The sequence below is a fragment of the Homo sapiens genome, chromosome 14 (genome assembly GCF_000001405.40).
Source record: "Homo sapiens chromosome 14, GRCh38.p14 Primary Assembly".
Taxonomy (NCBI): domain Eukaryota; kingdom Metazoa; phylum Chordata; class Mammalia; order Primates; family Hominidae; genus Homo; species Homo sapiens.
The window spans coordinates 19,455,675-19,482,213 of NC_000014.9; the positions used below are offsets into that span (position 1 = coordinate 19,455,675).

Sequence of the window (26,539 nt, forward strand, 5' to 3'; positions counted from 1 at the left end):
TAATTGTAAGTATTTAATTATGGAAAAATTTAGAACACAGCATAGTATTCATGTGATGGAAGGATTTTAAATGGAACCCAGAGATTAGCAGCAGCAGGAAGTTTCTATCATACTTAGGATTGGGAAAACAACAGAAGTTACTGGAACACAAAAGCAGGGTCATGTTATTAAAAACTGGGGCCATGGTGAGTGTCTGTGACCATTACCTAATATGTCACACTGAATAAAGACAGATAGCACATGATCTGAGGCTTTTTTCTTCCACAGATGCCTTCCATTGGCCAGAATTAGCAAGTATTTAGAGTGCACTGAAGACTGGGAGGGTCTGTTCTCTGTAACAGAGTGAAGAGAAGGAGAAGGTGAGATGCTCATTACCTTAGTGATGGCTTCAATCGTACCCCAAAACTCAGTATCACACAATAAACCTGCACATTTTTATTCAGTCTAAAATAAAAGTTGAATTTAAAAAAAAATACAGAAAGCAGTTTAGACTTTACTAATCAGTAGTAAAGTCTTTAGAGCTGCTCTTCCAAAAGTAAGCCATTGCACTGAGAAAACTGACCATTTTATTCATCAGAAGAAAAATTCAATGAACCTTTACTCACTGACAATAGTGAGAATCAGAATGAATGAATCAGAATGTCTGTCCTAACTACTCCCTCTGGTTCTACTTCAATTCCTGCTGCCTCCATATGGTTCATCAGTGTGTGGAAGATGAATGTGGTAAAACTGAAGTGGCTGCTTGTACTTGGAGAACAACAACAATGCACTGAAAATTCACTGCTTAGAAGCTGTTGAAAGAGTTTGGCAATAAATACAACCTAATATTCACAATAAAGAGCAATGATCTATAAGCCCATTTTCACATCTATTGTAAAGGCCAACCATGTGTTTCAGCCAAAACAAACTGATTTTATTAATACAATGACCAGACATATATAAATAATAATATGAGTTTATTTTACCAGAGGAATTGGCTCTCACACTTGCATTCTATTGTAGGTTTTTACACTTATCCAATTCTAACAAGAGTTGGATAAACTCAGGGTTTTCCTAAAATAACAATGACTATTCCTCACAAAAGAGTCACAAGCAAAGTCTACACCTGAAAATGTGTAGATTGCCTTCCATGTCCTGTGTGCATTAAGAAACGTTTTATTTTTACACCTGGTATACGGACAACATGGATGAATATGTTGGCTAATTAGAACAAGTTTATCAAGTTCTTTGAAACCCTTGGTAGACAAAGTAATTCAAGGATTCAGCCCAGATTAGTAGTGTGAAAGCCTGCAACAAACCAAACTGTAGAAAAGTAATAATGTAAATACAAATGTGATTTCAATCTCCGCTTGGCGACTGACCTCCCTCAGACCACTAAACTCTGTGCATCAGATGCATTAACAATGAGACATTGGTCACTCACTGGGGAGGTGGGCATGGTGAAAACCTTTTTTTACCCATAGATCTGGGGGAACTGCTGAAAAGCCTGAAATGCATTCAGTTGATGCACCAGACATCAGTTACTGAAGAAGCAGAGGCGATGAACTTCCCTTAACGTTGACCTAAGTGGATAAACGCATGGCAACATGCTGAGTGACTTCAACAATGCAGACACACTCAATGTCAAAATGCCACAGGGCTACCCGGTGCTGCAAGGCTGGGACTCGGTTTCCGTAAGACTGTCTTAAGGCAGTGGGATTTCTGATGGAACTGTGGACATAAGCATATGCCCCCATACGCCACTCCCACTACTCACTGTAGGAACAGCAGTGTAACATTTGTCCCGGCTAATGATGACAAACAATCCCCAAGTCCCTATGCAAACCAAGTGCTGGGGCCACACAGTGGCCTGAGCAACATACCTATGGGTAGTAACTATTGAGAAGACATTTCCAAGGGATTGCCATTCCAACAGGCGTGGGGAATGCTCAACATCACCAATCATCAGAGATGAGGTACCGGTGCCATCACACGCTGGTCAGAGTGGCCATTTGTCCTAAGTCAAAACATAACATGCTGGTGTGGCAGCAGAGAAAAGCAAACATGGCTATTCTCTTGGAGGTAATGCAAACTAGATCTCAAACTGTGGAAATCAGTCTGAAGATTTCTGGAAAAAAAAAAGGACAGAAAGCAGAGCTACGCTTTGACGCAGCAATCCCCCCCGGTGCGTCTACCCCAGGGAAAAACACATGCATCTATCAAAAGGACACAGACACTCACATGTCCACGGGAGTGTTACTGACAGGAATAAAGATGTGGAACTGACCTAGATGCCCACCAACAGAAAATTGGATTTTTTAAAATGTGGTACCTATACATCACAGAATGCTGAAAAAACCACTAAGGAAAATCAAACACAGAAACAAAATCATGCCCTCAGTAGGAACATGGGTGGAACTGGAGGCCACTCTGCTAAGCAACTGAGGCAAGAACAGAAGACCAAACACTGCAGGTTCTCATTTATAAGTGGAAGCTCAACACCCAATGCACATCAACATCAATATGAAATCAACAGACGTTGGGTACTACCAGACAGAAAAAGAAGGGAGACAGGGAGCCTTGGAGGAAGAAAGACCCAACTGGTGCTGTGTTCACTGCCTGGACGACAGGTACGTTAGGACCTCAAGCATCAAAATTCTACTGTATAGCCATGTAGTGAAGTGAACCTGCAGGCGTACCCCTTGATCACAATAAAAGTAGCTATCATTTTAGAAAACCCAGCTTTGGAAATAAAAATAGAAAAAAGGAAGAAAACACACAAAACAAAACAAAAAGCCTACAGTGACCCAATCCATCCTCTTAGTGGCATGAACACAGAAAGATAACAGAATGGACAAAACGAAGGAGCCAAATAATCAACCCACAGTTATAAACACTGAACCCATGGGATTCTTGCTTTTACCCCAAAAGCACAACAATGGTTGAGGAAACTGTTGGGGGGGGGTGGGGGTCACGTGTAAAGGACCAAACCCTTCCTTTACCCAAGACACAAAAAGTGACACAAAATCTACTGAACACCTAAATTCAATCCTGAAACCAAAATCTCCAAGGGAAACGCATAGAGTGTATGTCTACTGTGGGGAAACTTGAACCTGTGAACCTAAGCTACAAGCAGAAAACGAAGACATAGGAACCAAATACCCATAGACCATAACATAATGGCTTCACCATCTTGCTTTTCTCCTCAAAGGGACACAGAAATCACCACTAAGAAAAGCTAATGTGACCATGTGAAACTAAGGACAACTTCAGAGCTTCACACAGCTTCAACACTGGAGAGAAAACAGTGAACCCAACAGAAAACATCCTACAGACTGGGAGAAAATTATGGAAAACTGTGGATCTGGAAGGGCTTCTTATCTAACATATTCAAGAAACTAATGGTCCTAAGTGGACAAAAACCAATATACAATGCTTGTCACACCTAAGTGGACAAAAACCAATACTAAAAATGCCCAAAAGACTGGCATAGGCATTTCTGAAAAAACCTGAAACAGCCTCTCAGGTAACAGAAGTTTCTCCACATCAGAAGAGTTTCTCCCCAGAGAACGAGTATGACCAGAAACAGCAATAAAACTTTGGAAGATAAGGGCAGTGTAGATTTGCAGACAGAGGAACTATTACATACTACTGGTTTGAATGCAAATTTGTATACCCACTGGGAAACAGCTGGAGGTTTCTGAAACAATTAACAACACAACCACCAGTTCCTCTAGCCATCCCAACACTGGGTATACCTGCAAAGCCAAGGAAACCTACCTTAAGGAGGTATCTCCCTTCCCATGTTTCATGAAGTACTCTGGACAATAACCAAGGTGGGGAATCAACCTACTTGTCTTTCTACAGATGATAAAATCAGGAATTGAAGGATATATGCACAACGGTATACTCTTCGGCCATCAAACTTCCGGACATCAGTTCACTACCAGCAAGATGGAGAAACCTGGAGGGCATTAAGTTAAAAAACATGAGCCAGGCAGAGGAAGACAAACACAAATACTGTGCAATCTCATGCACGTGGAATCTAACAAAGTGAATCTCATACAGTAGCAATGTCAACAGTGGGTACCAGAGGCTCGGAGGAGGATTGGAAATGGCTACAAAGGGATGCTCAGATGAGGCACAGGTACTCTGGTGTTCTACAGCACAGCAGGGTGACTAGGCTTAACAATATCATAGCATAATATTCAATATTGCTGGAAAGGATTTGGAATGCTCTCTCCATCAAGAAATCCTCACTGTAGCATGAAACAGATGCTAGGTCCTGTAGTTTCATTGATTCATGTAAAAAGGTCCATTGCACCCTTTAAATAAAAACATAGACCATGTCCTATTTTTGTTTTCCAAATAGGATCACAACACACTACTAAAAATCCCGTGGGACAATGAAATGCCCTGCATTCCCAAAGCAGTTTCTGCACATACAAAGTCAGTGGAGTGCCATCACACTCTTCCACTTTCAACTACTTCCCAAAGCTTTAGTTACCCAAGCGATTCGTGATAGGCATTAACAGAGAAACACAGGCCAACGAACACAATGAGGGTGTCCAGCAGCACACTCAAATGAAGGTCTCAGTTAATTTAGAAAGTTTATTTTGCCAAGGTTGAGAACACACTTGTGACACAGCCTCAGGGTCATGATGACATGTGCCCAAGGTGGTCAGGGCACAGCTTGGTTTTATACATTTCAGAGAAACATGAGACATCAATCAATATATCTAAGAAGTATATTGCTTTGGTCTAGAAAGGTGTGACAAGTTGAAGCTAACTCAGAAGACTGGAAGGAGGGAGGGAGCTTCCAGGTCACAGATCACTGATACACAAATGGTTACATTCTTTTGAGTTTCTGATTAGTCTCCAAAGGAGGCAATCAGGTATGCATCTATCTCAGGGAGCAGAGGGGTGACTTTGAATAGAATGGGAGGCAGGTTGGCCCTAAGCAGATTCCAGCCTGAGTTTTCCTTAGTGATTTTAGGGGCCCAAGATATTTTCCTTTCACATTTCCCCCCTTTTCTTTTTAAAAAATCTTTTGGAAAAAGCATTTTACAAGAAAATGAGTCTCTGGTCTCGGGTTTCATCTCATCTCTCATGGCTAGGAGGGTTTATTCCTAGAGAGGTAGGTCCCAAAAGCTCATTTTTAGCAGGTTGTGATGTCTCACATCCTTTGAAGTTAAAATAGGGGGGAGGAAGTGAGAAAAAACAACAACAAACAAAAGAACAATCCTGGAAAAATCAATGTAAGCCACATTACTCTGCAGTCCATGCCTCAGTAGGCAGGTATGAAAGTGGCTTAGGTATGTCAACAGGTTGCTGTTATTTTCTTCTGAAGTTTAATTTGTCTGGCTTCAGTTCACAGGGTTTTAAGAAAGCACAGCTTAGTTTTCAGTGACTCCAAGTTAGGAATAATTGAAAAAAAAATTGAAAACATTAAAGACTTGTAGCCAAGAAAAATTAGAATTTGGTCCCAACTGTAGAAAATAATAAAAATTGAAAAAAATATTAGGCAAGACTAGAATCTAAAAACAGGTCTACTGTGGTTTTGAAACATAATTTTTTCTCTCTCCAGTTTTCCATTTTTACTAAAGATAAATCATGTTAGAACTGATTTGCTTTATTATTCTTGGTCTAATTATTTGCATACAGTGCAACAACAATAATTATTTTTTACACAGGCTTTTAAATTGGCTTTGATGGAACTTTGTTCCATAGGAGGAATCTTAGATAAGACTTTCTTAAGCCAGGCCCAGCCATGGATTTGTGCCATCAAATACCTATGATTTCAGTGAATTTCCTCTCCTCTTGAGGTTCCAAGATAAACCTGGGGCTTCTGCACCTGTCAGAAAGTGACATTCTTTATTTACCACAGGTCAAAACCCTGTACAGGGACTGTGTACACAAAATATGAGGCCAGTTTTTCCACGGGCTTTATTGGCTTCTATAAGTCAAGTTTGATTCCTTAAAGGAAAGCACACCATTTCAGTCAAACCCTTGATAAAATAACCAACTTCTCCAACTGTGTCCTATTGCAAAATAAAACAGATTCTTATTGCACTTATGCAAATAACTATGTTGCCATAAATTAAGAATACCCCCAGTTTCCAAATTCTGGAGAAATTAGGTAGAGAAAAACAAATATGCTCCAAATTTTGTTCACAGGAATATACTTTATTGTTAAAAGCTGCAACTAACAAAGTTTTCTTAACTCTGAAAAACTAAACAAAGTATCAGCAATGTTTTAAGCAAGAAGTCAAAAAGATTACTTCAATTTTCTGTTGGTTCAGTTATTTCTATTAACTCCTGTTCCGTTTCATAGTCAGGAACATTTCAGCTCTCCATGAGAGAGTTCCGAAATTTTTTGCTTTATTCCAATGTAACAATTTCCAAAATTATCAGAAAACCTGAATTTAAGTGCACCTGTTAAGAGTCCTACAGCTGATTATAAACCCACCTTATAAAGAGGGTTTAAAACAAGACAAAACAAGACAAAACAAGATAACCGTCTGTGGATGAAAAAAAAGTAAAGGCAGCCATAGTTAAAAGATACAATTGACAAGTGAATGTGTTACCTCCGTGGCACACGATAATTTTAACATAGCAATTATGATTATTACGAATAATGTACACTAAGTTATATCAGAATTACAGGAGTTTCCCATCATTTTGGAACACATACCAATAACATATTTATACAAATGGATATGAAAGAAAGCCAAACACCATTTCTTATCTGACAGTACTTTCCTGTATAAATTTTATACCAGATAAGCCAAATTATGTCATTTTTAGACTTTAGAGAAACTAATGTTCTATTTAGGATGGAAAAAGACATAATATATAATTTGATTTTGGAAAGTTTGTCAAATATAAAATGTTTAAAACACTTGATATTAAAAAATAGGATTACAGGTCATTGTAAAGTCATTTATTTAACCAAAGTGATAATTCAAGGATTTTTTAAAAGTGAAAACCTTCATCCTTTGAGACAGGAGACTTAATTTTTTAAACAAGCAGCCCTAATAAAAACAGCATGAAGCCAATTACATTTGTTTTTTAAAATTTTCTAAATCTATAAAATGTAATCTTGATTATAAAATATAACTTCCATAAGCCTTTTATAACCTGTACTAAGGAGTTGGTAAATGCTTCAAGAAAACCTTGTTAATCTGACACAGGGGTCCATATACTGGTTTTGCATCATTGTGATTTTGACATTAATAATTAATGTATAGAGAAACTGAACCAACTTTATCTTTCAAAATCGGCCCTTACAATCTTATGCTCCCACCTCTTTCACAATAGTCTCTTGGTCTTGAGGAGTTCAATAGCTTTCATTTCCTGCCCTGTGTCTCAGGAATGCAGCAGTTTATTTAAATTGGCATCTTCTACTGTTCCTGAAGATGAGGCTTTAATTGCTGTGGGTATTTAAGATTTAGCAGGAATTGGTTTTCGTTTTTAGACATAGGAGTTAAAAAGCCCTGTAACTCAATGTTGCAAGGATTTTGAAAGCATATACAGGAAGATACATGGATGTAATAACTTCAATTTTAAAAAATCTCAGTTTTTTTCCTAAGTAAACCAAAACTTAATGTGACAACTTTATTATATAAAAGTTTTTGGATTTTTTAAATATATAAATCCTTATTGTAACTTACATTGTTCATGACATGGTCAGACTTTCTGATTTGTTCTGAACATCCTTTCTTTTTAAACAACCAGTTATTTTATTTTAGGACTAAACTTACTACACAGGATTCTTTCTTATATAATAGTATTTCTCTTTAAACTCTTTTTTACCTCAAAAACTACCTCTTTACAACTTTCTTTACATTTTTTTATTTCCTGGTTCCTTTTACTTTGTTTTATATATAACTTTAAATAAGCTTTGAATTAGACAAAACATGTTCTTTTTTTTTTTTTTTAGAAAAAAAGACACTTTTTTGGCAAGAATGTTTTCCTACAATATATGTGTATTGGAAAATACCCAAATAATGAAATATCTATTATTTAACTTAACTTTATATTCTAAATTATGACCAGTTTGTCTACAAGTATTTATCCCATTACAATTACCTAATTATTTTAATTGTTTATCTAGATTATTTATGAAATCTGTGATAGTCATGATTTAAAGTTATGAAGCCGCCATTGCAAAATTATAACTGAGACAGTGAAAAAAAGATTTGACCTAACTGGCTCCATCTTGCTCATAACCTCCAAGCTGTCCTTGTTCATTCCTGGGCATAGGCTGAACTAACACTGAGAGGAACCTGGTTTATAGTTTAGATTTGAAACAAAGGCAGTAACAGTCCTTACCTTATTGTCTGTGGACTAGACTGCCAAATGCCGCAGGATTAGAAGTGCTAGTAATCTTACTAAATTCAACATGCAGCTGTTTTTATTAAACCCCATATCAATGTCTTACTTATTAAAAATTACACAAGTAAAGATCATTCCGTTTTGGGCTGGGTTTATACTTTTGAAACCCCAATGCCAAATTTTGACACCTTATAGTATTTGGCAGGAATATGTATGAAATTGGTTGATACTAAATGTAAACAAAAATGTATGCTGCCAATTTTTAAGACATTTCTAATATTTTTTTACCAATAATTTTAAAGATAGCTTATTTATTAAAGATTTTGCTTAAGTTACATAAAGTTGAAAAAGCATTTCGCAAGTCTTTCTTAGTATTTAACTTAAGTGGTTTTATTTTTCTTTAAGCCGATTAGAGCTTTTATATATTTTTAGTAGTCCAACATTCTGTACACAATACATAAATACATCTAAAAATCTATCAGGCATATCTATGGAAGTACTGAAACCACTTTTGCAAAACTGCAACTAAGGAAATTATGACAGTGAAAGAAATCAGACCTAACCGACTCTATCTTGCTTCTAACCCTTAAGCTGTCCTTGTTCATTCCTTGGTGTAAGCTCAACTAACTTTGGGAAGGAATTTAGTTCACGGTTTGACTCTGAAAGCAAATTGATAACAACCCTTTCCTGAAAAGAACCCCTTCTTGCCTGGGGAGCAGTCTGCCTTTGCAGGACTAACATATTAGCTACGAGATTAGAATGTACAGTTTAGGGGTCATGCAGTCTCTGGCTTCGAAAGTCTGAACCTCCCCAAACTGCTCCTGCAGGTAACATCACATCACTACTGTAAAACCTAAGATCAGGGCTTGATACGTGTTGCAGACCCTGCCCAGGCCAGTAATCTGGCCCAACCAGTTGTGCCGTCATACCCATGAATAGAAGACAGAAAGATAACCTAACTTCAACCCCCTATGATTCTATCTCCAACCTGACTAATCAGCACTCCCCACTTCCCAAGCCCCTACCCACCAAATATCTTTAAAAACTCTGATCCCCGAATGCTCGGGGAGACCGATTTGAGTAAAAACTTTGGTCTGCCATGCAGCCGGCTCTGCGTGAATTACTCCTTCTCCACTGCACTTCCTCTACCTTGATAAATCGGTTCTGTCTAGGCAGCGGGCAAGGTGAACGCATTGGGCTGTCACGGTACATTTTATAGATTGAAGACCTCCCCCTTTTTTTCTCTCTCAGACTTTCAGATTCTTGGTAACTTGTTTCACAACCCTAGGCAGCTGTCAACTAAACAGCCTTAAATTTGAACGTTAAGGGAAACAATTCAGGTGAAAATCAAATAGCAAAATTTACTACATAAAGCACACAAGGAAAGAGGCTGGTGGTGCTAGAGGGAGACACTAATATTTTCTTCGAGCCAAATTAAACATTAAATTAAACTACAGTCTTCCTTAAAAACCCAAGAGTAGCCTCTGTTGCAATAACTACTTTAGTCAAGAAAAATCAAGTGAAAACAGAATTCAGTCAACTGAGAAAAAAAAGACAAAAAAAACATAAACACATTTGCTCAACAACAACAAAAAGACAAGGTCTTAGGAGAGTAAAACAAACAAAAAAACAAAAAACATGAAGGCCTTTCAAATACAAACATGCGCACACATGCACACACATCTGGATGTTACCCTTTTAATTAAGCTGACTTTTACACAATTGTGCTCCTTTAAACAAAACTCTTTTAATCTTATTACCATATTTCAGCGAGGACAAAATGCTGCTAAACTAACAATGGTCACACAAATTATATGATTTCTGAGCACTCTGACGTGTAAGCAGAAATTAACACCGGCTGGTTGTTAAATGTTAACTTTATTCTTTAAAAGGAATTTGCAAGACAGAATCCAAAACTAGTTTCTTACCTAGTGATGGATCTCAGGCTGCAAACTACTCTCTACTATCCTAGAAGCAGGAAAAACACACAAACAAACAAACACACAAAACAAATTTGCCTAATAGAAGAAGTGAGCTCAAACTCTATAAAGTAGTTACCTGCCTTCCAACATCATGGAGGTGTGAAAACTTGTCTTGTTGGACGCAAGTAAAACTCCAAAAAAAAAAAAAAAAAGAGGAGTTGTACAGCAAAATAAACTTTAGATCTTGACCAAAGTTTTGGAGATGAAGGATTCTTTGGAGGGAGTGCTCTCAGATCTCAGCAAATTGTCCTATTGGTTTGGGTCATAAAGTGAGCTCACACTGGTCCCAAGCACTGACAGGAGATTTGCCAAAGGTCAGGGGCATCTCCACTCAGAATCCCTCGTGGTTACCAAAGGGGAACTCTGAAAATCTGAAACAGGTCTCAGTTAATTTAGAAAGTTTATTTTGCCAAGGTTGAGGACACACTCCTGACAAAGCCTCAGAAAGTCATGAAAACATGTGCCCAAGGTGGTCAGGGCACAGCTTGGTTTTATACATTTTAGCGAGACATGAGACAACAATCAATGTATGTTAAGAAGTACATAGGTTTGTTCTGGAAAGGTGGAACAACTTTAAGCAAAGGCAGGAAGACTGGAAGCAGGGAGGGAGCTTCAAGGTCATGGATAAGAGATACACAAATAATTACATTATTTAGAGGTTTTGGTTAGCTTCTCCAAAGGAGGCAATCAGATATGCATCTATCTCAGTGAGCAGAGGGGTGGCTTTTAACAGAATGGGAGACAGGTTGGCCCTAAGCAGTTTCCAGCCTGAGTTTTCCTTAGTGATTTTGGGGGACCAAGATACTTTCCTTTAACAACATACGAGTAAGCACATGTTTGAAAACAACCACAAAAGTCACCCTGGGAAGGGAGAGTCTGTCCAATACAGTGTTCAGGGAACTGGATATCCCTAAGCAAAATAACATAGGGTCCTTATTGTGCGAAATTCACAATTCATTCAACTGAAAGAAAGACCTATCCAAAACTGATAAAGTCACTCTCTAAGAAGAAAGCATATAGTGTGCAGATACCAGGGTCAACTTGGATCTATGCTCATGGTTTGCAAAAAGGAAAACAGAAAAAATAAAGAAGACAAAAAAGAATACAAACAAGCAACAACCAAAACTCACTGGCAACAGATTGATAAGCTGGTGAATTTCTTTAACTTCATCAGTCACCAAAGTAAGGGAAAACCAGAACACTACACACACCTGAAACTGCATCAGACTACATGGCTTGTGGGCAAGAAAGAATGAAAAACATGAATGAAAAGAAAGAAACATACAAAGGATGATAAGAAGCATTTGGAGAAAAACACAGCTGATGAGGCATTTTTTGGAAAAGGTGTAAGTAACTAACATTACTAACTAGCAAAAAACACCAGAAAACAGAAATTAATTACCAAACCAAAACTGGATAAAAAAACCAAAGAGGCTTTTCTGCAAAAGACACATAAAACTGAAAATAAGTATGCTTGTTAACACCCGGTTAACACCACTAATCATGGCAAAAATGAAAATCAGAACAAGACTCAGATACTGTGCCTCTCTTGGTGGAACGATTATTACAAAGACCTTTGTGTATCTTAAAAGAAGCTGCTGTGAATTTCCAGAGAGGTTAGCTTTCTTATCCACAACTGTTAACAGGTAATTAGTATGCACACTACAGAAGCCACCTGGAGGTTCCTCAGAAAACTAAACTTACAACCACTGAGCTGTGCTGCTACTGGAATCATATGAAATCAGTACACAGAAGACGTATCTGCCTTCCCACGCTGACTGTGGAAACAGTCGCAATAGCCAAGATAAGCAATCAACCTACCTGTCCACCCACAGAGGATGAGATCCAGAAACTGCAGTATCCAGTCACAACCAGATACTCTTCAGCCAGACACGGGTACTGAAATCAGGTCATCCGTGGCAACACTGTGGAACCTGGAGAACATTATGGTAAACAAAACACACTAGGCAGAGAAAGACAAACCTCGCATCACTTCACTCATGAGGAATCTAGGAAACTTTATCTCACACAGACCTACAAAGCACCATCGTGCTTGCCAGGGTTGGAAAAGAAGGCTGGGCAAGGGTGGGCATAGGAAACAGGTACAAAGTGACACGTTGCATGAGAGGAATGAAACCTGCTGTTCTATTCCTCAGCAGGATGACTAGGGAAAATTTTACCAAAGGGTGGTCTTCAAGACAGCCAGAAAGGAGGGTTCTCGCTCTCCTCACTCAAAGACATGAAAACTCTACCAGGCATAAAAGGATGCTAAATACCCTGATTTCATCCCTATACGATGCATGCATGGACCCAAATGTCCCACTCGACCCTCTAGTTGTACATATTTAGGACAGGGCCAATTTTGTTTCCTAAAAACAACATAAACAAACAATGCTAAAATTCCCATGGGACCACAAAATGCCCTGAAACTCCAAAGCCATGCTGAAACACCAAACGTCAGATGGACAAAAGGCTCACTATGCAGTGAAGGGCACTGGGCTAGGTGGCTAGACACATGCAGATGGACAACACTGGAGCCTTAACTCTCGTCAGATACAAAAACTAACCCAAGGTGAATGAAAGATTTCAGCAGAATACCTCAAACTATAAAAGTCCTACAAGGAAACCTAGGACATATCTTTCTCAGTACGGGCTTTGGAAAAGCATTTAAACAAAAAGCAACAGTAAGAAAAACCAAAAGGACAAGCTGGGCCTAAGAAACTATAACACTGCCAGATAGCAAAATAAATCACTGGCACAGTAAACACACAGGCTACAGGATGGGAGAAAATGTTCCCAAACTATGCTTCTCACCAAGGTCTGATAGCCAGACTCTAATATGACCTTAAAAAAATCAAGAGGCAGAAAAACAAACCATTCAAACAATGGGTAGAGAACATGAACAAACACCTCAACATCCCTCATCATCAGAGAAATGCAACTCTCATGAACACTGAGATACCATCTCACATCGGTCAGAATGGCCATTTGTCCTAAGGCCAAGCATTAACATGGTGGCAAGGCAATGGAGGAAAGCAAACACTGCTACACTCTTGGTGGGAATAAAAACTAGCTCTCACACTATGAGAAGTGGTTTGGAGGTTCCTCAAAGAACTTAACAACTACCATCCAAATGAGCAATCACATAACTGGGTATCTACACAAAGGAAAATAAATCATAAATCTTCCTTTCAAAATGACACAGGCATGGGTATGTTCTTGGAAGTGCTATTCACATGGAAATATAAAATAACATCGACCTATGTCCCCCCTTAACAGTTGATTACATGCTTTAAAAGTGCTACACATAGATACCACAACATCCTACACAGCTTAAAAAAAATTCATGCTCTTGACAGCAACAAGGATGGACCTGCAGGTCACTATGCTAAGCAAACTAACACAATCTAACAGAAAACAAAATACCACATGCTCTCACTTACAGGGAAAATACCTGTAGACAATACAATGACTTTGTGATCTCTTTTTTCTCTCTCTGATTGGACACAGAAATCCCTGCTGACAAAAGCAAATAAAAAACTGTGAGACCAACACTTTAGAGCTTCTGCATGGGGGAGAAAACAATGAACCCAAAGAGAAAGCATCTTACCTTGGCGGAAAGGATGATTGGGTTAAAATTGTGGAGAATCGTGATTTTGGAAGGGGTTGTTATCTAACATATGCAAGCACTAAAGCTACTAAGTGGGGAAAAGATTAAAAAAATACACAAGCTAAAAATATGCAAAGGACCTGCACAATCACTTCTGCAAAGGACATGAAACTGATTCACAGGTGAAAAAAAAAGATTCTCCACATCACTAATCACTCCAAACATGTAAGTCAGAATCACACTCCAATATCAGATACCATCAAACTCCACTGAGAATATTACCAAAAACAGGAATAACATTTTTGGAAGGTAGCAGCCAGTGTAGACTTACAGAAAGGGAAACTCTTATACGCTATTGATGCCAATGTGAATTAGTGAATACACTGTGAAAAAGTTGGGATGTTCCTCACACTGCGTATGCATTTAAAGCAAAGGAAACCGGTACCTTAAGGAGTTACCTGCCTTCCCATGTTTCATGACAGTATTCGCAATATAGAAGATATGGAATCAACCTACCTGTCCATCCATAGATGAAGGGATGAAGAAACTGCAGTATATCTGCACAACACAATACTCTTCATCCATAATTAATGTAATTTTCATTTGGAGCCATATGGATGAACCTGGAAAATATGTTAAATAAAATAAGCCAAGCATAGAAAAATAACCACAGATTCATCTCACTTATATGGAATCCAGAAAACTTTGCCTTGGATAAGTAGTGGTTTTCTGAGGAGAGGGGAAGGAGGGAATGGGAGGATTGGTTGTGGAAACAAAGTTGCAGTTAGTTGGGACAGATACATTCTTGTGCTCTATACCACAGCTCCGTGATTCTGGTTAATACTATATTTTTCAAAAAAGCCACAGGGAGCAATTCCAATGTTTTCACAAAAGAATAATACCTGTATGAGAGAACAGATATGCCAAGTACCCTGATTTGATCATTACTAAAAATATACATGAATCAAAATGTGCCAGAGGAAAAACAGTCCCAGCAGACTCTCTAATTATATACTTTACTATGCACAGAAATTTAAGAAACGTGAATACACAATGCTGATGATCACATGGAACCACAAATGGCCCTGAATGTCTAAGGAATCCTGAGAAATAGAAACTAAGTTGGAGGACTCACAATCCCTGATATGCCGCTGTGCTCCAGCCTGGGTGAGAGAATGAAACTCTGTCTCAAAAAAATTGTTAGAACATTTGAAGGAAACGTAGAAGTGATAACTACAAGGACTCTGTCACTCAGGCTGGAATGCAGTGGCATGATCATGGCTCACTGCAGCCTTGACCTCTCTGGCACAACTGATCCTCCCACTTCTGCCTCCTGAATAGCTGGAACTACAGGCACACACCACCACGCCTGGCTAATTTCTTTGTATTTTTTGTAGAGATGAACTTTTGCCATGTTGCCTAGGCTGGTCTCAAATTCTTTGGCTCAAGTGATCTGCCCACCTTGGCCTTGCAAAGTGCTTGGATTACAGGCACGAGCCATTATGCCTGGCCATAAGAAAACATGCATGGCAACATCAAAGTGAAAAGTTTTTGCAAGGAAAAGGAAACAATGAACCCAAAAAGAAAGGCTGGGAGAATGTTTTGAGGAATCACGAATCAGCTAAGGGGTTGTTATGGAAACTATACAACACATTAACAGTACTAAGTAGCAACAAAAAAACCAATGATCCATCCAAAAATGAGCAGGGACCCTGAATAGACATTTCTGCAAAGAGGACAGTAAACCACACTCAAGGTCCCTTCCCCCAGTCAGGTGGCCATGACTAGAGGGACAGAGTTAGGCAGGCACTGCAGGGAGTGGAGAAATGTGACCCCTACGTCCTGATAGCAGGGATACAGATTTAAAAATTCACCAGACCGGGTGCAGTAGTTAATGCCTGTAATCCCAGCACTTTGGGAAGTTGAGGCGCGAGGACTGCTTTGAGCTCAGAAGTTTGAGACAAGCCCAAGCAACATGGCGAAACCCTGTTGCTACCAAAAATACAAAAAAAAAAATAGCTGGGCATGGTGGCATAGGCCAAAATACTGTTGAGGCTGAGGCTGGAGAATCCCTTGGGCCCAGAAAATGGAGGTTGCAGTGAGCTGAGATCCACCACTGCACTCCAGCCCGGGCAACAGAGCAAGACTGTATCTCCAAAATAAAAATAAAAATAAAAACAATTAAAAAATCAGCAAACCCTGGAGGTTAAGTTGGATCCTTTCCTTCCATCTGAGGCTTGAAAGCAAGGCAGCCAAACTGGGGCCTGGCCCCAAAACCCCACCTGGGCCAGGCTTCCCCTTCCTCCCACAGCCAGAGCTTTCCTCTCCACCTACATGGGGAGTCTCCCTCAGAAACAGCCCTAAAGCCTCCCACATATTCCAAACTCAAAAGCCCTCAGGGAATGAGTACTACTGTAAAATTAATGGCAAGATATCAAGAGAGAAAAAAGGAGTGAGAATCTAGCAGAAATACACAGAACATTCCACAAAATGAAAGCTTCTGTACTCACCATGAAAGAAAAACGCCCCAAAGAAGCTGGGCCACGGAGAAGCCACGCCGAAGCACTGTCCTCAGCAGTTAGCACCATGGACAGGAGGTGTTTCTTCCCCAGGATGCGCCCTCAAGTTATCCCAAAGCTGCTGCAGCACCTGGTGGCTCCTGATAATTCTAAAATTCATATGGGAAAAAAAAAACGAGCCCACATAGCCAAAGCAAGACTAAGCAGAAAGAACAAATCTGGAGGCATTACATTACCTGACTTCAATCTATACTACAAACCCATAGTCAGCAAAACAGCATAATACTGGTATAAAAATAAGCACATAGACCAATGAAACATAATAGAGAACCCAGAAGTAAACTCAAATACTTACAGCCAACTGGTCTTTGACAAAGCAAACAATATAAAGTGGGGAAAGAACACCCTACTCAACATATGGTGCTTGGATAATTGGCAAGCTACATCCCAAGAAATGAAACTGAATTCCCATCTCTTACCTTATACAAAAGTCAACTTAAATCTGAGACCTGCAACCATAAAAATTCTAGAAGGTAACATTGGAAAACCCCTTCTACACATTGGCTTAGGCAGAGACTTCATGACCAAGAACCCAAAAGCAAGTGCAACAACAACAAAATGAAGATTAAAAGGTTAGACTTAATCAAGCCAAAACGTTTTGGCACAGCAAAAGAAACAATAAGCAGAGTAAACAGACAACCCATGGAATGGGAGAAAATCTTCACAATCTATACGTCTGAGAAAGGACTAATAACCAGAATCTACAAGGTACTCAAATTAACAGGAAAAAAACCAATCCCTTCAAATAATGGGCTAAGGACTTGAATAGACAGTTCTCAAAAGGAGATATAAAAAATGGCCAACAAACATGAAAAAATGCTCATCATCACTAAAGATCAGGGAAATGCAAATCAAAACCACAATGTCAGGCTGGGAGCGGTGGCTCACACCTGAAATCCCAGCACTTTGGGAGGCTGAGGCGGGTAGATCACTAGGTCAAGAGATCAAGACCACCCTGGCCAACATGGTGAAACTCCATCTGTCCTAAAAATACAAAAATTAGCCGGGAGTGGTGGTGGGCACCTGTAGTCCCAGCTACTCGGGAGGCTGAGGCAGGAGAATCCCTTGAACCCAGAAGGTGGAAGTTGCAGTGAGCCAAGGTTACACCACTGCACTCCAGCCTGGTGACAGAGCGGACTCCATCTCAAAAAAAAAAACCAAAAACTCACAATGCTATGCCAGCTTACTCTGGCAAGAATGACCATAATCAAAACAGCAAAAAATAAAAAATATTGGGGGGCATTTGGTGAAAAGGGAACACTTTTATACTGCTAGTGGTAATGTAAACTAGTACAACCACTATAGTAAACAGTGTGGAGATTTCTTAAAGAACTAAAAGTAGAACTACCATTTAATCCAGCAATTCCATTACTGGGTATCTACCCAGAGGGGAAAAGAAGTCACTATATAAAAAAGATGCTTGCACACACAAGTTTATAACAGCACAATTCACAATAGCAGAAATATGTAACCAGCCCAAATGCCCATCAATGAGTAGATTAAGAAATTGTGATATACATCATGGAATACTATTCAGCCATAAAAAGGAAAAAATATAATGGCATTCACAGCAACCTGGATGGGATCAGAGACTTTCTTTTCGTTTTTCTTTTTTTTTTTTTTTTAGACAGAGTCTCTCTGTCACCCACGCTGGAGTGCAGTGGCACGATCTCAGCTCACTGCAACCTCTGCCTCTCGGGTTCATGCCATTCTCCTGCCTTAGCCTCCCAAGTAGGTGGGACTACAGATGCCCGCCACCACGCCCAGCTAATTTTTTGTATTTTTAGTAGAGACGGGGTTTCACCATGTTAGCCAGGATGGTCTCGATCTCCTGACCTCGTGATCCACCTGCCTCAGCCTCCCAAAGTGCTGTGATTACACGCGTGAGCCACCGCGCCCAGCCGATCAGAGACTATCATTCTAAGTGAAGTAACATTAAGAATGGAAAAGCACACATCGTATGCTCTCGCTAATAAGAGGTAGCTAAGCTGTGAGGATGCAAAGGCATTAGAATACAACGGACTTTGGGACTTGGGAGAAAAGGTGGGAGGGGGTGAGGAATTAAAGACTACAAATTGTATACAGTGTATACTGCACAGGTGTTGGGTCCACCAAAATCTCATGAATCACCTCTAAAGAACTTACTCACATAATCAAACACCACCTGTTCCCCAAAACCCTATGGAAATACAAGAACTTTTTGTTTATGCATACCACATATTTTTAAACTTTTTTCACAGGTTCATTGAGATATAATTTATGTATTATTTAATTCACTCAATTAAAGTATAAAATTCAGGTTTTTTTAGTGTATTAACTGGGTGCATAAACAATCACAATATAATTTTAGAACACTTTTATGCTCCTTATAAGAAACCTTGCACCCATTAGCAATCTTTTCCCATTTTCCCCACTCTTCCTTTAAAACCCTCCCAGCCCTAGGCAATCATCCATCTACTTCCTAAGGATTTGCCAATTCTGGAAGGATTTGCCTATTCTGGACATTTCATGTAAGTGGAATCATAATAATATATAGTTATGTGTGACTCACTACTTTCACTTATCATTTTTTCAATGTTCATCCTTTTTGGAGCATCTATTAATACCGTTTTCTTTTTCATTGCCAAATAATATTTTATTTTATGGACAGATCACATTTTATTAATCCACTCCTCAACTGATGGACATTTCTGTTGTTTCCTACTTTTTGTTGCCATAAACAGTTGTATGCTACTTTTTGTGTAAGGCATTTGTTTTAATTCCTTTTTGCTGTATACATAGGAGTTAATTTACTGAGTCATGATAATTCTATACTTAACCTTTTGAAGAACAGTTTCATTTTTCTGCACGTGGCTTGCCAATTATGCCAGCACCAAATAGGGCATCTTTTCCCACTTTATGTTTTGTTTGCTTTGTCAAAGATTAGGTATAGTCTGATGCCTCCAGGTTTGTTCTTTTTGCTCAAGATTGCTTTGGTTTTTCAGGGTCTTTTGTGGTTCCATTCAGATTTTAGGACTAATTTTTCTATTTCTGTGAAAAATGACATTGGAGTTTGATAGTGGTTGCATTTAATCTGTAGACTGCTTTCGGTAGCATTGCAATTTTGACAATATTAATTTTTTCAATTTATAAATATAGGATGTTTATGTCACTTTCAATTTCTTTCATCAATGTGCTATAATTTTCAGTATACACATCATTCACATCCTTCATTAAAATTACTCCTTGGCCTTTTATTTATTTATATATTTGTTTTGATGCTATTATAAACGGAATTACTTTATTAATTTATTTTTCAGATAATAGTTTATCATCGGTGTATAAAAACAAGAATACTATTTGTATGTTAATTTTGTAACTCTCAACTTTGTTGAATATAGTGTTTATCAGCTTTAATGGGTTTTTTTGGTGGAGTCTAAGATTTTCCCTATGTTAAAAGATTACATTTTCAGAAAACAGAGACAATCTCACCCCTTCCTTTCCTATTTAGATGCTTTTCCTTTCTTTGCCTTGTATAATTACTCTGGCTAGTCAATTACATATAACGTTTTCAGCATTTGCAATTTGACATCAAATCTATCTGTTGTAATACACTGATTGTTACTTTTCAACTCGAAAACCTGGACATTTATCACTACTCTCCCTTTCTCTTGATCTAGTTCTTATAAAAAAAACTATCAATGTAAACCAGGATAGATATTTTTCTGTAAAACAACTTCAACAGCACTAAAAAATTTTAGTCTAACAATTTTTAAACTTTCTATGTCAATGATATTAAACTGTGGTCTCTCAAAACAAATCCAATACCTTTAGTAGGAAAAATTATGTTAATTCCTACACTATCATTGGGTCCAGCCAAGAGTTGACCAAAGATGATATTAATAGATATGCTTATTTATTACCTTGTTCTCACAGTTCCAGTGTAAGTCTTGAAAATCTAATAAAAATTTGTAAAGACTATAATTGCACAAACTCCCTCTCTCATGAGTCACACAGTTAATCCAGAATATTATTTCTAAGTTATTATAAAACCAACAAGGAAATATGATGTAGTGTATAAAAAGAATAATCCCAATTTGATAAGTATATTCTATAAGTGAGACATGTAATTGATACTATTTACTAAATATCTCAATTACATTTATTTACATAGAAATGAAAGAATCAAAAGCATTATCTATTATTCAATATTTAAATGACTAAAAATACTTGAAATAGCATTGCTACATAAATGCTATGTAAATGCTGACAAAAGGAAAAATGTCATTCCCTGCATTTGCTGAATACATTGTGACACATTAGAAGTAGTTTTAAAATATATCACTAATGGTTGGGTCAAGTCAGCAAAAACTATTCTAAGTACTTAATTGTGGAAAAATTTAGTACAGGGGATAGTATTCATGTGACGGAAGGATTTTAAATGGAACCCAGAGATTAGCAGCAGCAGGAAGTTTTAATTACATACCAGGTGCAGAGTTTAGGATTCAAGACGGAACCGTAGATAAAGTCTGACTCTTTCCAGCATAGCTAGGAGACATGGCTAACTCCACCTGTCTGGAGGCCTTACCTAGAAATCTAACGGCTCCAAACCAGATAAACAGAACTATTTTCCAAAGTCAAACAATCAATTCATGACATTAAAGCACTTCTGAACTTTGACTTAAATTACACCAAATGGATAAATTTTGAAGATATTTTTATTTTACCAATGATTTTAACACTGTCTTTACTTCCCCAAGATTACTGAACTCACATGAAATAAAAGGCATTAGAGCTTCTGTTTTTCTGACAAAATATTTAAGAGCTTTCATTTTCTTTTAAGCCGAGCCACTAGAGCTCCTTTATATATACATCACATACACAACACTTCTAGACAGAAAAAGATCTAGCAGCTGTTAAGATTTTCTTTCCCATTTCATGAACCATAACACAACTTCCACAGAGCATCTATGACATGATTAAACTTTCTGACCTGTCCTGTATTTTCCTCTTTCGTAATTAGTCATTCTACTTTAGGACAACAATTTGCCATATAAGATCCTCTCTCATACAACATTTCTTTCCTTCATAACTTTTCTTACCATCAATACATCTTCACATCTACAACTTTCTTTAGATCTCTCTCCCCTACTAATGTCTGATGTCCACCTAAACCAAAAAGGTCAGATAACGCAAGGCAAAACAGAGGAGAGCCTTAGGTTTTGAGAAGGACCTGTCTGCTTAAAGTTCTTGGGGTTCCATGAGGAAAACAGAGTTTCTCCTAAAATGGGGTTTGTCGAACCTTCTATTTTTCCTTAAGGAGTCCCAGGCTGTCAGAAATTACCTTAGATCCTCTCACGTGAGCATCAAGAGTGGCAACAAGACAGACAAGGGAAATAATTCGGACAACTGAGCAGAAAAAGAAAAACTTACTACTGTCCCCACCATAAAGATGGATAAACTGAGGCACCATGCAGTTTAAAAATTCATGTTCACATAGAGTTAGGCTCCACAGCTCACTCTCTTACCATCCTGCAATTTTTCCAACTCTATGCCCAGTCACTGATGCCCCTGTATGGTAGCTCATGGTCCCCTAGGAACTTAGAACCTGAGTTTCATTCCTGCTCTACAGCTATATAATTTTACAATTTTCTTCTGAATTTGTTGGATTCTAACCCTGTGTATCTCAAATTTTATTAATATTACTGAACCTTAAAGGGGGCTGTGATGACTTTTGTCTTCAGAAATATTAAACCTACAAACAAGGACTATATGAGGTTAAACAGTATTCAAATTCCTATATGCTTTAAAACATGGATGCAATTTATTGAGAAACACACCTATGAAACTGCACCCAATCAACTCTGGACAAACATTTAGATATTATCTCTTCAATATAAGCTATCTAGTGGTAATTAGACATATTCTTCCATATATCAACAGTATCTTACATGCTCATAACCTTAAACATAACTGAAAAGTGTCCAAATTACAGGCCTTACACATTACTGTGGGCTTGAAAAATAATATAGATTGTCTTTAAAGCAGGCAAGAAAATGTATAAACTTCCAGAAGAATGAGTAAAAATAAAAATAAAAAAACGGTTCACACCAAAGGTAGTAATACTAGGAATAAAAGAGGGCTCAACACTGCAGGTTCTTAGAGGCAAAAGTTAATAAAGCCTTGTTTTTGGTTGTGACTCTTTGCCTTAAAACATTATACACGGCCAGGCATGGTGGCTCACGCCTGTAATTCCAGCACTTTGGGAGGCCAAGGCAGGTGGATCACCTGAGGTCAGGTGTTCTAGACCAGCCTGACCAACATGGTGAAACCCCGTCTCTACTAAACATACAAAAATTAGCCGGGCATGGTGGCAGGTACCTGTAATCCCAGCTACTCGGGGGTCCAAGGCAGGAGAACTGCTTGAGCCCAGGAGGTGCGGGTTGCAGTGAGCCAAGATCGCACCATTGTACTCCAGCCTGGGGGCAAGAGCTAGACTTCATCTCAAAAAAAAAAAAAGAAAAAAGTTACACACAACTCTCCCCACTTCCTTTTTTCTTACAAAGAGGTGGTGATGAACCAGGTTTGCTCATGCAGGTGACAATACTCTTGAAAATGGTGGCAGAGAGCCAGCGTGGTGGCTCACACCTGTAATCCCAGCACTTTGGGAGGCTGAGGCAGGTGGATCACCAGAGGTCAGGAGTTCAAGACCAGCCTGACCAACATGGAGAAACCCCATCTCTACCAAAAATACAAAATTAGCTGGGCATGGTGGCACATGCCTGTAATCCCAGCTACTAGGGAGGCTGAGGCGGGAGAATCACTTGAACCCAGGAGGCAGAGGTTGCGGTGAGCCGAGATCGCCCCATCGCACTCCAGCCTGGGCAACAAGAGTGAAACTCTGTCTCAAAAAAAAAAAAGAAAGAATGAATGAAAAAAAGAAAATGGTGGCAGACAAATAAAATGAAGAGAATACAGTTCACTTAATAATCTCATAAACTGGAACTTATTACCCCGGTGACTCTTGCATAGCTCCAGATAAATATGTGACAGAAATGAAATGGCTGTTTGCTACCGATATTTTATGTGATGCTTCATTTTTGATTCCTTGAGTAACTACTTACAACGCATTAGCCCACTTATGCAAGAGGCTGCAATTTTTTGAATTTTTGCATGAGTGAAAAATCAGACCTTGTCAATGACCTTGGGCAGTAGGATGTAAGTTAATTCCTCATGCTCAGTATTCCAATAATGGAACACTAGGCATAAGTGGGTTAACACGATCATGAAAGCATACCTATTCAAGTGACTAATACAACTGATTTTTTTTCTCATCTCTAAAACACAGTAAGGGACCATTTATTTTAAAAATACAACACAGGGACCAGTAGTTTCTTTTTAACTCACTTTCGGTTTGTTGTTTGTTAAGGCCATTGCTTGGCATAAAGAAAATTTAAAAAGGAGGATAAACCACAATAGAAACATGAAATAGAAGCAGCAGCAAAAGAAAATAAAGAGAAACAAGAAGATGAGAAGAAGACAATACAGACTAGAAGAAAGAAAAAAGAACAGGTGTGGGAAGTAGAAGGCCTATTATGATACCTTTTATCCCCTCCCCAATTCATGAAATTTGAAAAAGTCAGAGACTATCACAACAAAAAAGAAACAAGATACACAAATAGTCACCCCCTAAGTTTTGTTAAGAATAAGACAATCCTGCCCCTCACGCCTGGCTCAGTCACCAGCAGGAGGAGGGCACCCTCCACAGATTGCAGGAGAAGGGGAAGGACTCCTCCTTTCCCTAGGTGCACCTCCACTGCTGCCACCAAGGCCTGGTACAGTACCCGCAGGTTCCTCCCCATCCCCAGGTCGGGCTGGGCCCTGCAGCGCTCCTACTCCCCCTTCCCAGCCCCCAGACTTAATGCTGATACCACCACTAGCACCGATGCCAATACAACCGCTGTCGCCCTCAATGCAGCAGCCCACCCTACAAGGCTCCTACCACCTTGCCCCCGCGGGCACCCTCCTACCACTCCAGTCGAGCTGCAGTCTCCGTCGCTGCCACCAATCTCGTGAGACCAGCTGCAGAGCCATATGCAGGCTCCAGTTTACCACAGGTGACTCTTCCTTGTCCTCCTCCTCCATCCTGGCTTGGAGCAGCTGGGAGGGCAAAGCCAGAAAAGCCTAGAATGGGATGCAGAGAGTGGTAGCCTTAGAGCCTCACCTTGTCACGCTGGCCACTGGGTGGCAAGGACCAGTTTCAGGAAAGGAACTCACACCCACCCTCCAAAGTCCAGCTTCTCCTTCTGGCAAAGCTGGCCAAGAACTGGGGCCTGAGGTGGGTGTGAGTGCCTTCGCTGAAAGTGCCCCCGTTCAGGTGCAGCTGGCCAGAAATTGCTGGGCCCACCAGGGCTGCACTCCTCCAGGAGCAGGACTAGGAAAAACTCAGACCTAGGCAGCCCTCCCCACCCAAGTGCTGGTTCCTGTTCCTGACGCCTCCACCTACAGTGCCCTGGCCCCACAGTCCCCCATGATTCCCACTAATCCCTGCCCGGTAGTCCCAGGTGGTCTCCCCAACAGGCAGCATGAGGCACAGGCTGGGGAACCACGGGGGGTGTGGGGGCCCTGCTGTGCTCACAATTGCATGAGCAGGAGAAGATTACCCTCTAGAGTCTGGAATCTGGGAAAAGAAGAATGGTCACTGGAAGGAGAAAGGAGGCCACCACTGTTGCTGTTGCTGCCACCTCTGCAGCCCAACAATGCCACGCAGTGTAGCCCCTGACAGCACCCCTAACCTGCCTGCCCCTTGCCATCAGCAGTGTAGCCCCGGGATAGCACACCCAACACATCCCGTGCCAGTTGCAGGCATATAACCCCAGTACCCCCCCAAGCCACCACCCCCAACAGGCAGTGTAGCACATTACAGGGCCCACAACCCGACCCAGCCAAGGGGGTTGCTGCACTAGTCAGTGCCCCAAACCCGCCCCCCCCAACCCCACCACGGGCAGTGCAACTCCTGATAGTGCACCCCAAGTAAGTGAAGTGCAGCACTCCATAACACCCCTAAACCACCGCCCACTGCCAGCATTATAGCTCCAGATAACCACCCAACCCACCCCCTGCCGCAGGCAGTGGAGCAGAAAATAGTGCCCCTAACCCATCACCCACAACCAGCAGTACACATTAGTGCACACAATCTGCCTCCCTCCACCACCCCCGCCACCGCAGGCAGTGTAGCCAGTGATAGCCAGCCAACCCCCCCAACCGCCAGCAATACCCCAGAGAGTGCCCCGAACCAGCTGCCTGCCACAGGGAGTGCAGCCTTGGGCAGTGAGCCCCAAAAGGACACCCAACCCCTGCCCCCAGAGGTGGGCAGTGCAGCCCCAGAAAACTCACCTACCCAACGGCACGTCTACCACTCTGGAAGACCTGCAGTGTCCGACATCACCACCAACCGCAGCGAGGCGAGCTGCGGTGGCGCAAGCTCCAGCCTCCAGCATGCGTCCGTGCCTCTCCCTTCTACTCTTCCTCCTGCCCGGCAGGAAAAGCTCCCACTGCAGGCCACCCTTCGACCGCTCCATCCCCACCACCAACAGGAGACAGCCAGTGCCCTGGCTCCAGCTGGCAGCAGATGGCGGTCCCCTCTCCTAGTTCTCTAAGCGAAGAGCAGCACACCACCACTGAAGAACCTGAAATGACCTGAGGTTGCCCTCACCGTGCTTTATATACTGAGGTTACGCACATGCGTTCTTGGACTACATGTTCTGATTGGATGAGAGAAAAACCTCTAGGCCTACTCTGATTGGGCTTTATTTTCATGCTGTGATTTGTTGTCTTAAGACTTGCTCTCATCCAATCAGAACATGATAATAAAGTCCAATCCCAGTAACCCTGGAGGGTTTTTCTCATCCAATCAGAACATGCAGTCTAGGAACCTTCATCTATATATAACCTCAGTATATGAATGATCCTGAAGGGAAGGCTGCCCCTTTAAGGTTCCGGTATCTTCCTGTAGAGCTGCTCAGGGCCCAGCTTAGAGGACCGGGAATGGGTAATCACAGGCCGTACGCTGG

At 40.3% G+C, this 26,539-nt stretch overlaps 1 long non-coding RNA gene across 2 annotated transcripts; it reads right to left on the reverse strand.

The window, feature by feature from the left end:
• LOC124903277 (uncharacterized) lies at window positions 1–26,202 on the reverse strand. Of its 2 annotated transcripts, none has more exons than XR_007064053.1 (6): window positions 16,419–17,646; window positions 14,425–14,531; window positions 12,120–12,232; window positions 3,833–3,943; window positions 1,863–2,107; window positions 1–332 (listed from the first exon to the last, which is right to left on the reverse strand). It is a non-coding gene; the product is annotated as an uncharacterized LOC124903277 (long non-coding RNA). The 2 variants fall into 2 exon arrangements; XR_007064054.1 differs by lacking the exons at window positions 1–332; window positions 1,863–2,107 and adding exons at window positions 24,497–24,650; window positions 25,863–26,202 and having other exon boundaries at window positions 3,147–3,943; window positions 16,419–16,576.
• Between the last annotated feature and the right edge of the window lie 337 nt (window positions 26,203–26,539).